The sequence below is a fragment of the Homo sapiens genome, chromosome 5 (assembly GCF_000001405.40).
Source record: "Homo sapiens chromosome 5, GRCh38.p14 Primary Assembly".
Taxonomy (NCBI): Eukaryota; Metazoa; Chordata; class Mammalia; order Primates; family Hominidae; genus Homo; species Homo sapiens.
Genome location: NC_000005.10, coordinates 102853438 through 102869297, shown reverse-complemented (window position 1 = coordinate 102869297; position 15860 = coordinate 102853438). Strand labels below are relative to the sequence as shown.

Sequence of the window (15860 nt, the reverse complement as noted above, 5' to 3'; positions counted from 1 at the left end):
TACTGCTCACATGCAACAGAAAAATACATTCTCAGCAAAAGTCCTAAGATTTGAATGGTCTAAATCACACACTTTCTTTTGAACCAATCATTGCGGAAAGGGAGGCGGGATACAGTCAATTATCAATCACGGTCCATGTGTTCCATCTCTGGAGTCTGGGTAGGAAGCTCTTGGGAATCACATAGTCTCAGAGAAGGAGCAAGGAGGCAACCAGCTATTTGCTGGAAAGGCAACCAGCAAATATGCACTGCATGAGGCCAAGGTGAATACAGATAGTGCAAAATAAAAAGCAATTATTTAAACAATGTATGTTCTTTCCCCATGGAGTTATTTTGATAATTATAGGATTATAAAAATGAACACATTTTACTTTATGAAAATGGAGCTCCTCCATGACTTTTTATAATCAATTCCTCTAAGATCTCTTTCTGAGATTACTGACCCCATCACAGTTGCCCATTATTATTGTTAAGTAATTTAAATGTTATTACTCTTAAATAATGAGAAGAAAGAATAACAATAATAATGAACCAAACAAAAGACTATTTGATAAAATAATGATATTCTTGTGGGGAAAGAGTGCTTGAAAACCCAATTAGTGGATATTTTAAAAAAAATACATTCAGTTCAAGCAAATACAGGGGGGAAACCCAGTTTTAAAAGTGAGAAAAGAGGCACACTTCATAAGTGAGCAACTGTTGTTCTTCTCTCCTAGTCTCAATCTCATTACACTTTTTGCGGTTAAATACTAAATAAAAAGCTTATGAAATTAAAAGCTAGCACAGTAACAACTGAATGCATGGAAAGTCATCTGCATGGTCATTTGGGGATGAGGAGGAAGTGAAAGTCATTTTTACAGTGGTAGTTAGTTATAGACAATCATACACAGGTCTTCAAATAAATGAATGCCAATTCTTAGTCCCAAAAAAAGGCCCATGTGTATTCTCTAAAGCTTCTGGATGTCAATTGCAAAGGGAATTCTGCCTAATAAGTAGAATACGAATACTTTATTTTCCTAGTACTGAAAATAAAATAAAAAAGAAAAGAAAAATAGAATGTTATCTGCAACAATGAGTCATCAGCCACTGCAGCTCTACAATATCCAGGTCTTTCCCTGTCTCTGCAGCCCTTCAAAAGGAGAGGACTATCTTTTAATGACACACATAAATCCCTGCACTGCCTGGCTGCAAAGCATAATTAATTCTGGCCTTTTTATGCTTAATGAAACACCTTGCACACATGACAGCAGTGGGTTTGAGCTTCTTGCGTGTACCTAAAAGAGGGAAAGCCCTAGCAGCAACCTAGTTCTACACAAAATGCTCTATAAGTCACATTTATATGAGCTTTGCCATTATTTCAAAATACATCTCTTACAACGAGCAAGTCAGGTTAAAGAAAACTCACAATCAGCCACCTGTATGAACAGTTTTCTTAACTTTTAAAAGAGTGGAATGTTTTGTTTTTCAAATTCTTAGCAGTAAACACGTTTTTATTTCTTGACTTGTGGTTGCAATAAAAGGATATTTAAACAAACTAGCTTAAATGCAGCTGCTCAATATCATTTTCCTTTATTAGAATAATTTTTCATATTTTAATGCGTACTTGCATGCTGCATTACAGAGGCTATTACTCCACAGAGAATCTCAAAATGTAAATTTTCGACATTCCATTTCAAACCACAAATGATAATATAAGTAAAATTTTAAAAACAAAATTTAAGTGAAAGATTCACCTTGAAAGACTTAACCCTCTTTAAAATATTCAATTATTCTAGCCTTAGCTGGAGTCTTGAAAGCAAATGCCTACGTTTAAAGAAGTTCCTACAGCTGTAAATGCAGTTTCCTTACTTTAATTATAGATTGTATCCAGAACAAGTGAATAATGAAAGACAAAATTCCTCTCACCTGTTTAGGTGTAACCCCAGGCATGCGAATATCCAATGCAAAATCTGATGAATCAATAGGAACTACGGGTCTGGTGGTACCAAGACATTCATTGGAAAATGGTCTGGTAGTTTCTTTAAACCTTAAAAAAGAGGGCAATTTCAATATTCTTGAACATAATGGAATCTAAACTCAACATGAGAAGGGGAAAGAAAGGAATTCTATGACCTTAAAGATGATTGATTTAAACCCAATGAAAACTCTAAAGATGTGATGACTACACAATGTTCGTAAACATACTCAGATTTTCATTTTATAGTCCAATAACAATATATACCTAATTTGTAAATAAAATATAACCAATGCAATCAACCAGGCTACATTTAAAACTCCATTCAATAAAAACTTGTTTTTATTGAAAATTTATAAAAAATTATGTCATATAAAAATATGTCAAAACATATATCTGTTTCAAGTTAATGAAGATATAGTATTAATACATTACAAATTATCACAGGCATGCCAATTTTCTAATGGCAGAAATATTAACCATGACCCAGTAAAAATTTCTGTAACTATTTTCAGTGTCCAGAATTACTAGCTAGAAACAAGAAAGCCAACCATAATCTTGCTAGGAGGCAGAGCTGTTAGGAGGAAGAAATAAAAGACTGCGATGTGAATTACAAATGTACAAGTACATAAATATTTAATAAAGTAATTATGAGGCGTTTGTATACAGCTCAGTGTTTCCTTGTGAGCTATTACAGTCTATGATCTGCTTCTCCTCGACACTGATGTATCCTTATATTTTATTCTTCGAGCTGTTATAAACAAGCAGGCATTCAAAACTAAGCGAATATATTGTAGTTCCTGAAATACCTCCCCCAGAGGGAGTGATTAGTTTTGGAAATCACAACTTCTAATTGGAGTTTTGAAAGCCAGAACTGCTTGGCTACAATGCAGTGGGCTTTTTCTGCACGGGGGACTTCACAAGAAGTTACTGTGGTAAAATTCCAAGTCATTCCAGCAAAGAACATCAACCCCGTCTATTTTGCCAACACTCAGGTTCATAAAAGTGATTACATTTCTCAACAGCATGCACAGAAAGCACCCGAACAACGAACACCCACCTCTTAAAGACAGAAAGTGGGCTTCGGAAAGCCAAACAGCTGCTTGGAAAAACAAGGAGAACTAGCAGGCTAGGGACGCGGCCAGCCATGTCCACGCCGATACGACCCCGCCGGGAGAGGACCGGGCAGCGCAGCGCGGGGCTGGGGCTGGCGGTTGGGCAGCGGCGCCGCCAGCAGCCGCTACTTCATGGCCCGGGCACGGCGGGCGTCCTGCGGCGGCCACACACCATCCGCCAGCGAGAGCAGCGAGCTGGCCGCGGCGAGGCGTCTCGGTCACGAGCGGCGGGCAAAAAGCCGTGGGCAGGCGGGACTTTTGTCCGGCCCGCAGGCGGAAGCTTTCCTCCCTCCAGCGCCGCTCGCGTGCCCTGGCGCTGGGGCTAGACGCGCGGGTGCCTTATGACTCCGGAATGACAGGGGCTGTGAGGGGTATCACCCAAACCCGCGTCAGTCATCATTCAGAACCTGCAAAAATAGAAGCAGATAATGGATGACTAACACGTTACAGCATTTGTCCTCAGCAAATCCCAGCTGAGGTTCTTTAATACATTAGTAGTTTCACAAGGTTGCGCCCAAGCCTGGGGAAAATGCTGGTCTGTTGAGCTCCCTCCCCCACAGCCAGCCCCCAAGATTTCAGGAACCCCCACGGCGCAGCCCCTGTAGAGCCGGTGTTCTGTCTTTGCTTGCTCTTCCTCCCTTGGACCCACTCCTGTTTTCTTTTCCTACTTCTTCCCCCCTTTATCCCTCACAGCCACCCCAGTCTGAATTTCTCTTTACTTCCTCTATCACTCCTTTCTCTCACCAAAAATGCTCTAAATACCTCTCTGCTGAATGTAAACATCACACAAATGACCGGCTAAGGCGCAAGGAAAAAAACAAAACAAAAAACGAAGAGAGGCAAAGACAAAGCACTGGATACCACAGTAATCAGATAGAAAAAGACTTTTGAGAACAAAGGCATGCTTATATACATGCATCACAGAGCTACAGATCCAAGAGGAATGATATCTCCTACCAAGAGCTCCCAAGGATCATCACAGAATTGCCCAAGTTCTCAGAATTATTTTAAAACAAACAAAAACTCTACAGCTAACATGATACACAAGATGTAAATGCCCATTTAAAAATCCTGCATCTCATAAGCAAAATAATAATTTTGTACTCATAAGGCATGCCTTCCAAAAGATATCCTTTCCTAAGTTTGGAGTTTTACAACATAATTAGAAAGAGTAGGGAGAATCTTAGCTGCCCCCCAAATGAATTTTATCTTCAAAGGTTATGATCAAGAACGTCACATTAATACAAATGAGAGGCCATGAAGAACTAATGTTACAGCTCAACGTTTTATAAGAGGACTCAACTAGGTTAAACTTGAAAATATTCATATTTTGACTGAATATATTTAAAACTATGTTATCAAACCTGCAAATTTTAGTCTGAAGGCATAAATTAAAACTGTATAATTCACAATATAAAAATACTGTACTTCCAAAGAAAGAGATTAAAGTTTTATTTTAGTCAGTAACTATAAACATCGTTCCAAGAATCTCAAATGAATTTGATGGGAAGATGTGTAACAGTAAAAAGAAAAAATAAGGAAAAATCATATCGGAATGTTTCACAGTAATACATCAGCCTCTGGAAATCACAAGATAGTGAAGCTAATCTAAAACAAAACAAAACAAAAACCTAGAACCAAAACAAATAAAAAAGCACTAACCTTAAATGAAGTGAGATTCTTCATGATAAGTGCTTTCTAGATACCATATACCAAATATAAATAAAACCTGACTTAACATCCAACCAAATCAAGGATGCTTGAGGCTCACCAGCAGTCAAGGGTCAGCTAATTTACATAAGCAATGACATTTTTAAAAGACTGACAATATTTGTTTGAACTTTCTCTTTGGCTTGCTGTTTGGGCTTTCAGAAACAAAAACCTTCAGCTTTATCCTTATCCTGTGGGTAAAGGAAAGAACTCCTTCTGGAGGAAGAGAAACAATTGGCAGGAAGGCTATGCTATTGCCTTTGCTAGCAACAAAGTATAATCCTATCAAATGACAATACTTCACATTCCCTGAAGTTCTTTAAAAAAAAAAAAAATATATATATATATATATATATGAAGAAGGGATTATATTTTAATATTTTATTCAGAACAGGATTCAAGGACAGTCCCTCTTCCAGTTGGCAAGGAGATTTGGTATTACACAAACACTTGAAAACAAATTAAGTATTAAAATTCTCTAACAGGAACACACCCTTAAGTACTAGCCTTTGAAAAAAATATTCCACTTATCTCTTTGATTTTATTACCTTTGATGTCCCTAAACCACCCACTTAAAGAAAAGGGAATTAAAGTTGTGGGTAGAAGCAAAGTTGGTATTTGTAGCCATGAATAGAACAAAAGGTCTTATAAAAATGAAAGCTAATTATGCTTCTTGTTTCTGGATGACTTGTAAGCTAAAGACAAAATACAAATCATCAGATCAAAAAAAAAACATGTCCACCTATTTTATTTTTTTTATAATTCTGGATAATGTAGAACATATAATAATCAAATTTTATTAGTATTCTTATTTAAGATTTAAAAATTTTAAATATATTTCAGATATTTCATTGAGATAATTCCTTCACTCATCCAAAAAAAAAAAAACCCTTAGTTTCAATACTTTATACAAAAGATTATAATACATACTGGAGTTTTATAAAATGAATAAAACTAAAAAAGAATATAGTCTATTAAGGGAGATGAGAACTCTACACAGTAACATAAGGTATATTTAGAATGTAGTATTCTATATGAGTACTATAAAAAGAGACTCAGAATTTTGAAGAAGGAAAGAATCCTCAAAAGGAGGGCAAGAAAAAAGAAGAGTAAAAGCAGTATTCAGTGGAAGGGGTGGCTACTGAGCAAGCCTTGGAGGACAGTTAGAGTTTCCACTGTGGGAGGTGGACAATCAGCATTACAGGTACAGGGAAATGGCAGGAGCAAAGGAGCCCAGGTGGGGAACAGAGTATGTTCATAAAGTAATAAAATTTCTGCCTCCTAGACTCAAGCTGCAGGCCCAGATTTACTATTTTATTTGTAATACAAAGCAAATGTTCTGTTTACATATCCATAAAATCTTCAGGTAAGAATGATTTATAACCTATACCTGTATGGATATTAATTCCAGGAGGAGTATTAGTAGGTAGTTAAGTACAGCCTAGTCCAGAAGACCATAAAACTAATTTGGCTCTTACAAAGTAGGCAGTCCATTCCCTCTAATTTTCATTTTTTTTTAAAAAAAAAAAAGATAGCTGGCATTTGTTACTGGTCAAAGAGCCAAATAAATATATTAACCAATTTGACCATTCAGTCGTGTATTCATTTATAAGAGACCCTGTACAGCATAGTGGATACCTGTAAACTGAAGGAAAACTGCCTGATTCCTGGGTCCACTATTTATTAGCTGTGTGAAACTAGACAAGTACCTAACCTCTCTAGCTTCAGTTTCTTCATCTGCAAAATGGATGTAATCATATTACCTACCTCGTAGGGCTGTTGCCAGCAAAAACTAAATTAATACCCTTAGAACAGTGCTAGACACATAATAAATATTCCCTATTATTGTTGTTGCAACAAATATATATTGAATGCCTGAGACTCTGAATGCTGGGGACGGTGATAATCAAGACAGATAACGTTCCCACTCTTATAGAAATTACTTTCTGGGGGAGAGAAACAAATAAAAATGACTACCAAACTGTAAATTTCATTTTCTTGTAAGGGGATTTTATGCAGTTTCCTTGAATGACTTACGATTAAACTGATGAAAGGGCACATATCCATTCACATAGCAATTTGACTTCTGAGGATTAATTCTTAGGCAAAAACTGAACAAGGCACAACTATGTTTATAAAAATGTTTACTAGTATTGTTCGTAATAACAAAGACCCGGATGTTTATAATGGCAAAGAACTGAAAGCAATTTAAACGTCCTTCAATAGGAGATTTGTGGAAAAAAAAACTTATAGTTACAAAAACCAGAATGCTATGCACCCCTTTAAAAAAAAAAAAGACAATATGTGTCTATTTTTAAAGCCACAGGCAATTTTTTTTTTTTTTTTTTTTGAGACAGGGTCTTACTTTGTCACCCAGGCTGGAGTGCAGTGGCGCAATTTTGGCTCACTCCAACCTCTGCCTCCCAGACTCAAGCAGTCCTCCTGTCTCAGCCTCCCGAGTAGCCGGGACTACAGACATACACCACCATGTCCTGCTAATATTTGTATTTTTTGTAGAGACAAGTTTTTGCCAAGTTTCCCAGGCTGGTCTCGAACTCCTGAGCTCAAGTGATCTGCCTGTCTCAGCCTCCTGAAGTGCTGAGATTACAGGCATGAGCCATCATGCCTGGCCTCCAAAGGCATATTTTATAACATATTTTTGGCATAACTTAAAAAATTTTTAAAGAACCTGAAACTTATAGAAATGCTGCAAGTATAGTACAAATAACTTTTTTCCGTAATCATTTTAGAGTTACTGACCTGATGCTCCATCATCCCTAAACACTTTAGTATAACTTCCTAAAAACAAATATGTTCTACTACATAACCTCAATAAAATCATCAAAATAACAAAATTCACATGGATACATTACTAACATCTAATCCTCAGGTTCCAAACTTTGCCCACTGTCCCAATAATGTCTTTTATTAGTAAAATAATCCAGTTCAGAATCAGGTGTTCCAAAGAGAGCTGTCATATCTCCAGTCTGCTTCACTCCAGACAGTTTCTCAGTCTGTCTTCAGCTTCTATGACCTTGACTCTATGGAAGATTACAGGCTAGCTATTTTGCAGAATGCCTCTCAATCAGTGTTTGTTTTATGTTTCATTAGGACCAGATTCAGGTTATGTATCTTTGGCAGGAGTATGACAGAAATGATGGTGTGTTCTTCTCACTATATCTGTGTTAATTGTCCATTGCTGCATATCTAATTATCCCAAAACATAGTAGGTGAAAACAATAAGCATTATCTTGCAAAGTTTCTGTGTATCAGGAAAAGCTTAGCTGCGAGGTTCTCTTATGAGGTTGTAGTTTAGATGTGAACCAGAACTGCAGTCATCTGAAGGCTTGACTGGAGCTGGAAGATTTGCTTGCAAGACAGCTTGCTCACATGGCTGGGAAGTTAGTGCTGGTTGTTGGCAAAAAAACATGTCCTCAATATGTGGCTTCTCTCTCGGGCTACTTGAGTGTCTTCACAACATGGCAGCTGGCTTCCCCCAGAGTGAGCAGTCTTTTATTATGTAGCATCAGAAGCCACATACCATCATTTCTCTAACATCCTGCTGGCTATACAGGTCAGCCCCACCCACTGAAGGAGAAGACCACCCAGGGCATGAATAGCTAGGTGGGGAGGACCATCTGCTTGGAAGCTGGCTACCATAGCATTTTATTAAGTGGCTATGATTGTGACTTGTCTCATTACTGACAATATTAACTTTGACCATTTGATTAAATTGATGTCTTCCAGCTGTTTCCACCATACTGTTACTATTTTTTTCCCCTTTATAATTAATATGTTTTGGTGAAGCGGTTATTTTATTATTTTTTTTTTTGAGACAGGGTCTCACGCTCTGTTGCCCAGGCTGGAGTACAGTGGCATGATCTTAGCTCACTGCAACCCCTACCTCCTGGGCTCAGGTGATCATCCTACCTCAGCCTCCCAAATAGCTGGGACCACAGGTATGCACCACTACACCTGGCTAATTTGTTTTGTATTTTTTGTAGAGACAGAGTTTCACCACGTTTCCCAGGCTGGTCTCAAACTCCTGGACACAAGCTATTCCCCCACCTCGCCCTTCCAAAGTGCTAGCCTTTGACATATTCCTATCATCCTTTGAACATTTCCTTGCTTTCTGCCCCTTCTCCCACCTGGGCTCAAAGCCCTGCACAAGACCTTCCTCTTTGTGTACTTTATCTCACTTGCCCTTTGTGAACACCTTATACCAGGCTGCACACACATGGATGCCCTCCTCACCTTGTCTGGGCTCTGATGCTCCATGCCAGGTCACCAACCCCATCACACGGATGCCTCCTTACCTAATATGGGCTCCAATGCCCCATGCCAGGCCACCCTTCCTCAATTTCTACCCTGCTTTGCCCTAGATAGTTGCTTTAGGACTGAACCGGTCAGGAAGAAAAAAGACATCAATTTTTGAACAGCAAATTATAGAACAGCATACATATAGAGAGTCGTGTGTCACTTAAAAATGGGGTTATGTCCTGAAAAATGCATTGTTATGTTAGGCCATTTCATCCTTGTGTGAACATCATTGGCTGTACTTACATAAACCTAGATGGTATAGCCTATGACACACCAAGGCTCTATACGGTCTACTGCTCCTAGGCTACAAACCTGTACAGCATGTTACTATAGTGAATACTGGAAACAACTCAAACATAATGCTAAGTATCTGTGTATCTAAACATAGAAAAGGTACAGTAAAAATACTGTATATAAGATAAGAAATGGTACATTTGTATACGGCACTTATAAATGGAGCTTCAGGACTGGAAGTAGCTCTGGTTGAGTGAGTGAGTGGTGAGTGAGAGGCCTAGGACATTACTGTACACTACTATAGACTTTATAACACTGTACAGGAGATTTTATGCAGTTTCCTGTAAGCTATACTAAATTTATTTTAAAAATATTCTTCAATAATAAATTAATCTTAGTGCAGTGTAGCTTTTTACTTCATAAACTTTTAAAAATTGTTTAACTTTTTAACTCCTTTGCAATAACATTTAGCTTAAAAAACAAATGCATTGTACAAGTATATAAAATATTTTCTTTCTGTATATCTTTATTCTATAAGCTTTTTTTAAAAAAAAACCTTATTAAACTTTTTAAGCTTTTTTGTTAAAAGTGAAGACACACACACACACACACACACACACACACACACACTAGCCTGGGCCTATACAAGATCAGCATGATCAATATCAGTTTTTCACCTCCACATCTTGTCCCACCAGAAGGTCTTCTGGGCAATAACACATGGAACAGTCATCTCCTATGATAGCAATGCCTTTTGAAATGCCTCCTGAAAAACCTGCCTGAGGCTGTTTTACAGTTAACATTTTTTTTGTAAGTAGAAGGAGTGCACTCTAAAATAAAGACAAAATAGTATTGTAAATGCATAAACCAATAACACAGTCGTTTATTATCTTTATCAAGTATTACGTACTATACACAATCATATGTGCCAGACTTTTATGTGACTGGTAGGGCAGTAGGTTTGTTAACATCAGCATCACCACAAACACATGAGTAATGCATTGACATTATGATGACTACGATGTTACTAGGTGATAGGAATTGTTCAGCTCTATTATAATCTTATGGGACCACCATCACATATGTGTCGTGACACTGAGTAAAGCATCATTATGAGGCATGTGACTGTATTTAAAAGTCTGAAGTAATATAACTTAAACTGTTGCATTTCCAGAGATTTTCTATGGAGATGGTTGGGGAAAAGGTGGAGTTCATTGTCTTATTTATATGCTTTTGTAGTCTTTTAATTTTCACTGGCTTGTATTACTTTTGTAACTAGAAGAAAACAGGAATATATGCATTTTAAAATATTTTATTAAATATGGTTCGACAGATTTCAATTTACATGTTAACTGCTATCTGAAAGTTAGGTAATGTTTTGATAAAAGAAAAATTCTTCCTCTGCTTAGCAAGAACATTACAAACTAAATGTTATGGTGGCTATATAGCTGTAATGCAGAGCTTCTTAAGTTCAGCACTATCAACATTTTGGGCTGAACCATTCTTTGTTGTAGGGGCTGTCCTGTGTATTACAGGGTGTTCAGCGGCACCCTTGGCCTCCACCCACTAGATGCCAGTAGCATTCCCCTCAGTTATGGCAATCAAAAATGTCTCCAGACATTGCCAAATGTCTTCTGAAGGGTAAAATCACCTGGTTGAGAACCACTGTTGTAATGTGGCTCATTAAGATGAAGCTTAACTTGTAAATCAAATGCAATTCCATTTTCTTTAAGTACATATAATAAGAAATAAATAACTTAAAAAAGTGTTTGCAAAAATGGAACTTCCAAATAATGGGGGAAAATATCCTAAAGAATAATCATAACAACAGTTAACACTTACTGACTCATATGCCAGCACTGATTTTGCGTGTATAATCTTGCTGAATTCTTATGACTTTGAGATATGGGTTATTAATTCTGTTTTATAGATGAGGAATCTAAAGCTCAGAAAAATTAACTTGTTCTGGTTACACAGTGATAGAGCAAGAATTCAAATCCTAGCCTGCTGACTCCAGAATCCATGCTCTTAATCCATACTCTTCAACACAAAACAGACCCTCCATATTTATTGGGGATATTTTCTTCAGGTATAACAAATAGGTAAATCCTTTGAATACCATTTTCTTGCAAAATAATAATAGCTCATGTTTATTGAGCAATTACTATATGCCAGGCATTGTACTAAGCAGTTTATATAAATTAGCTCTTCTGAATCCTCACAGCAACTCTATGAAATTTGTACCATTATCATTCCTATTTTACTGAAGTGGCAACTGGACACAAAGCGAATTGGTAACATGCCCATGGTACCCAGCCAGGACATAAACACAGGCAATCTGACGCCATGGTTGAAGCTCTTAACTACGCACCTAGTCTTTTTTCCATTCATATACTAGGAAACATTCCCTCTTCAACTTTATAAACATTACTCATTTAGCTAATTCAGTAGGTAACAAATCGAAGTCCTATGCCTATGGTTCAAATTGATCCAAAAGAAGATTTGGTTTGGCCTGCATGGGTTTTTTCCCAACTCCTCCCCCATATTTGAGCTCTGAATAAACATTTCAAAATGAAAGATTTCATATAAAACCCAGATTTCCACTCTCTTGAAGAGCCATAAAAATCTGGCATCACTGGACTCACATTTCCACACAGCAACAATTAGCTGAGCCAAGTAGTGACTCCCTTTTTGACGTGGCCAGCAATCCGCAGACTGCCACTGTCCCCACTGCTCCCTATCTGCTCTCAGTCTCTGAGGCTAGGAGTAGCTGTTAAAACTGCTGCTCAGCTCTCAAGTGCAGTTGTTTGTTCATTTGTTTTTTGCCCTTTCTATTTTTTTTATAACTGGCCAGCTTTTCTCATTAACATTACTAGCTGAAACTTTAAAATCATCTGTGTTGTGATCACTGAGGGACACCCTTGCTCTAGGAAGATAAACTTCACCCTAGGTGGAACACAGGGTTTACCACACTTAGGTGTACCAAGTTGCTGTTTTTTGTTGTTGTTGTTGTTGGTTTGTTTTTTAAGGCTCTCTTCATTAGCAAGACCTAGCAAATTGAATGGTATTTTCTGCACACAGATTTGTTTGGGATTCATGTCTTCTAACATGCAGCCAATTTGAAGTATCTTTCCCTTGCAAGTCAAAATTGGCTGGGTACCTATTAGAACATATATGCTGAAAAAAAATCTCAGGGGTACCATTCAGCATATGATTCTACTGCAATAAGAACTTGCCAAAAGTAAAAAATTTTATTTTATTTTATTTTTTGTTTCCATGATCAGTAACAGACGCCCTTTAAATATGTCCATTAGTCATCAAATCGCTCAGCCCTGTAAATACTTCCACGGGGAAAATAACAAGACATATAATTCTTAATTAAATTCCTCAGCTTTGACTAATACAAATGTTGCTTCCTAACACATGTATCAAATTCAATGCTGGCATATTTTACTGTAAAATAAAACAGATCCCTGTCTTCCAAATAGCACACATCTTTTTACTCTAAAGACTGAACTGTCAAGTTCTCAAGAGATGGGTGAACTGCAGCGGAAAGCATTAACCACTACAGATGATGCCAGAGAAGTGGACCACTTCTTTGTATCCTAATTTGCCTACCAGGTACCTTATTTATTTATAAGCTCAGGACATTACATAAAATTTAGTTTCACAAGAGCACAAAACACCTCTTCAGCTATCACCTACTTTCTCCTTGAAACATTGTTGAGTCAGGGGAACAGACTTTTGGGCTGGTTTTGCAGAGCTATTTGGTGGACAACCTTCTGTGAACTCTGCCTTAACTCATGAAGCAAGTCAGTCAGCAGAACCTAGACTTAGAGACTATGTCCGTAATATGCCATTTCAGAAATTAATGGACTTTGTTCCTCTTCAGTAAAATTTTTCAGGAACTAGTTTGCGAGTAATGTCAAAGACCTCACTACATTTCAAATCTTGGATGTTTTTTTCAAAAAAAGTGTGAATCATAGATTGACCCACTGATTTAGGTATTGAAAGATCTTTTGCATTAATGCTTTGTACTGCTTCTTTTGTGGGTCTTTGTGTTACTAGTTTCTTTTATTTTTAGGAGGAAGTTGGTATAGAATGGAGGGAGGGTAACCGCATGTAAGTGCAAATATTTAGTGTACCGGGCTTCAGTGGATGTGGTCTGAAGGTGGGGATCTGCCTTTCCTTCTGTTTTTCTTGCAATCAATCAACACATTTTTAATGAGATGTTTGTGACTTTTTTTCCTGTTTGATTCCACATCCTTAGGCATACTAGTTATTCCTGAAGCATTTTAATATATATTTTGTTAAATGCTTTCCAACGACTTCAGAGGCAGGAGGTATTAACTACATGCAAAAACCAGCTCAGACCCAGACCATGCAGTTACAAAATAAGTATTCTCTTTCTTTAAAAGTCTATAGGAAATGTCTAGATTTTCACTTAAAAACAACAGTGACCTTTGTCTTCTGTTTCTGGTGCTATCCATACAGAAGTGTTTTCTCTCATAGCATAGTTGTATTTTCAAATGATTCTTATGTTTTCCATTTCAAATGTTCAAATTTGTACAACAAAATGCATAAACACACTCTTTCCTATTATAAAAGTTTTGCTATCCTTTTCTTCAAGCCACTCAGCTGTATTATTACAGTACTTAAAAGTGAAATCTATAATCATATAACCCTATTATAGAATTGAAAAACATATGGAAATTTTTCTTAAAGATCATCAAAGAATGTCAAAACATTCTCTCATTTGAATAATTCTGCTCAATTGGGTTTAGAATCCCTTAGAGGGATTCTGCAAAGTGTAAACTACACACTGCCCTCTCAATTCATCTCAACTAGATAATCTGGAAGTCATTAACAAAAGAACAAAGTTGCTTAAAAAAACATTTTAATGTCTTTTATTTTAGGGCAGAGAGGCTAAAATAAAATTTAGCTTAATCGTAAGACAACCATTTGAATTTTTAAATATGCAATTCACCACTGAAAGTACAATGTACTGAAGTAGCTTATATGCAGATATCTTAATTTCTAGTCTATAGCACTAACAGTTTTCTTTGATCAGTGTCCCCAAATTCCCCATGAACTATCAATGAAGAGCTTCATAATTTTCTTCTGGCTGAAAATGATCAAAGCATTCTTATGTTTGTTAGAATTCTTTGATGCTGATGCACAAACAGGTGGTGAGTTTATTTCATTGCTATTAAACTGTTTCTTGCTGTCTTGAGCTTAGGAAGAAGTGGTTTATTTTAACAAGGTGCTCACAGAGTGGCTTGTTCTTTCCCAGTTTTTAATAATTTTTACAAGGTTTCCCACAGTGACTAGCAATATGCACCCTGGAATGGAAAATGAGAGCTTAAAAAAGATGAGGTCCATGATCCTCCAGGCCTAAGACACATCCGAGGTGGACTTCCAGGAGTATCAAGGAAGTGAAGCCCAAGCACACCCAGTTGATCTTATTAGCTTTCTCTCTCCATTGTTGAGGCTACATGCCCTAAGCTTGAGTTATATCATAACTAAAAGTTGAGTTTTTAAGTCGCAGAAAAATGTGAAATACCCAGCATTTGCCAATTTAAACCAAAATAAGGAGGCCCGCAGGCAGTATAGTATAGAGAAGTCATTCCCATTTTTGAAATATAAAAATCCCTTTTTAAAATGAGGACATTTCATGGAACTATATATTATAATGACGCTATTAATAATTAAAATAATATTAATAGTTTTTGAGTATTTGCAATATGCCAGGCAGCATTTTAAATACTTTCCATGTATAATTTCATTTAATGCTCATGACATCCTATAAGCTAGGTCTAAGTACTATCTACATTTTACAGATGAGCAAATAGAGGCACAGAAGTCAAGGAACGTGTTGCACATCATGTTGCCAGCAGTAGTGGGGCAGGGACTGAACCGCAACTTTGGCTGCCTTCAAGGCAGGATCTACCAACTTGATAGAGGCTGTACTTCTGGTATTTATTAGCAAAATACATAAAGGCTAAGCTGAATCATTACTGAATCAGTAATGCTTTTAAATAAATTTTTACTTCATGTCACATATAATTCAAACCAATAGTACACGTAAGTGTGAGAAGTGTTATTGTTTCACATCGCACAATGCTCATTTCCTGGCAGTGACTCTGGGCTTCACCCTAAATCTGCCTCCCCTGTGGATTCTGAGCCAATGAATGAAAACCACTGGTGTAAAATGAGGGCGCAGACTTGAAGTCAGAAGTGATAGTTCTAAGTCCTAAAGGGATTCCCTTCACATTTCTTAACTTTGGTTCCCCCTGTCTAAATAGATGGTATTGATAAATGCTCTACCAAATGGCTACTGTGAGAAACAAAAATAATCTGAGCAAATTCTAAAAAGAGTAAAGCACCAGAGAGATCACAAGTTGTTATTAGTGTTTCAGGTTTAGCGTTATCAATGGATAAAATATAAAATCTTTCTTTTATTTTTCTAAATTTACACTGTTCATTCTGAACCTATATATATTTCATCTTTATTATTTCAGAGTACTA

At 37.0% G+C, this 15860-nt stretch overlaps 1 protein-coding gene across 55 annotated transcripts in view, besides 1 other annotated feature; it reads right to left on the bottom strand.

Moving 5' to 3' along the window:
- Positions 1–15860, bottom strand: part of PAM (peptidylglycine alpha-amidating monooxygenase) — a 276323-nt gene that overhangs the window by 161808 nt on the left and 98655 nt on the right. For all 55 annotated transcript variants that reach the window (NR_157231.1, NR_033440.1, XM_024446066.2 and 52 more), the window contains 2 exons: positions 3014–3475; positions 1905–2025 (listed from right to left, as the gene is read on the bottom strand). Coding sequence is in view for 52 of the 55 variants with exons in the window: in XM_024446066.2 (XP_024301834.1) it covers positions 1905–2025; positions 3014–3102 (210 nt within the window). In the remaining 3 variants the exon portion in view is untranslated. Of the gene's footprint in view, positions 1–1904; positions 2026–3013; positions 3476–15860 lie in introns of those variants that run through there.
- Positions 3053–3182: a silencer, noted in NCBI's record as "silent region_16209". NCBI's record gives its function as "represses an Ori minimal core promoter by ATAC-STARR-seq in GM12878 lymphoblastoid cells {active_cell/tissue: GM12878}" and the evidence as "EXISTENCE:reporter gene assay evidence [ECO:0000049][PMID:35858748]".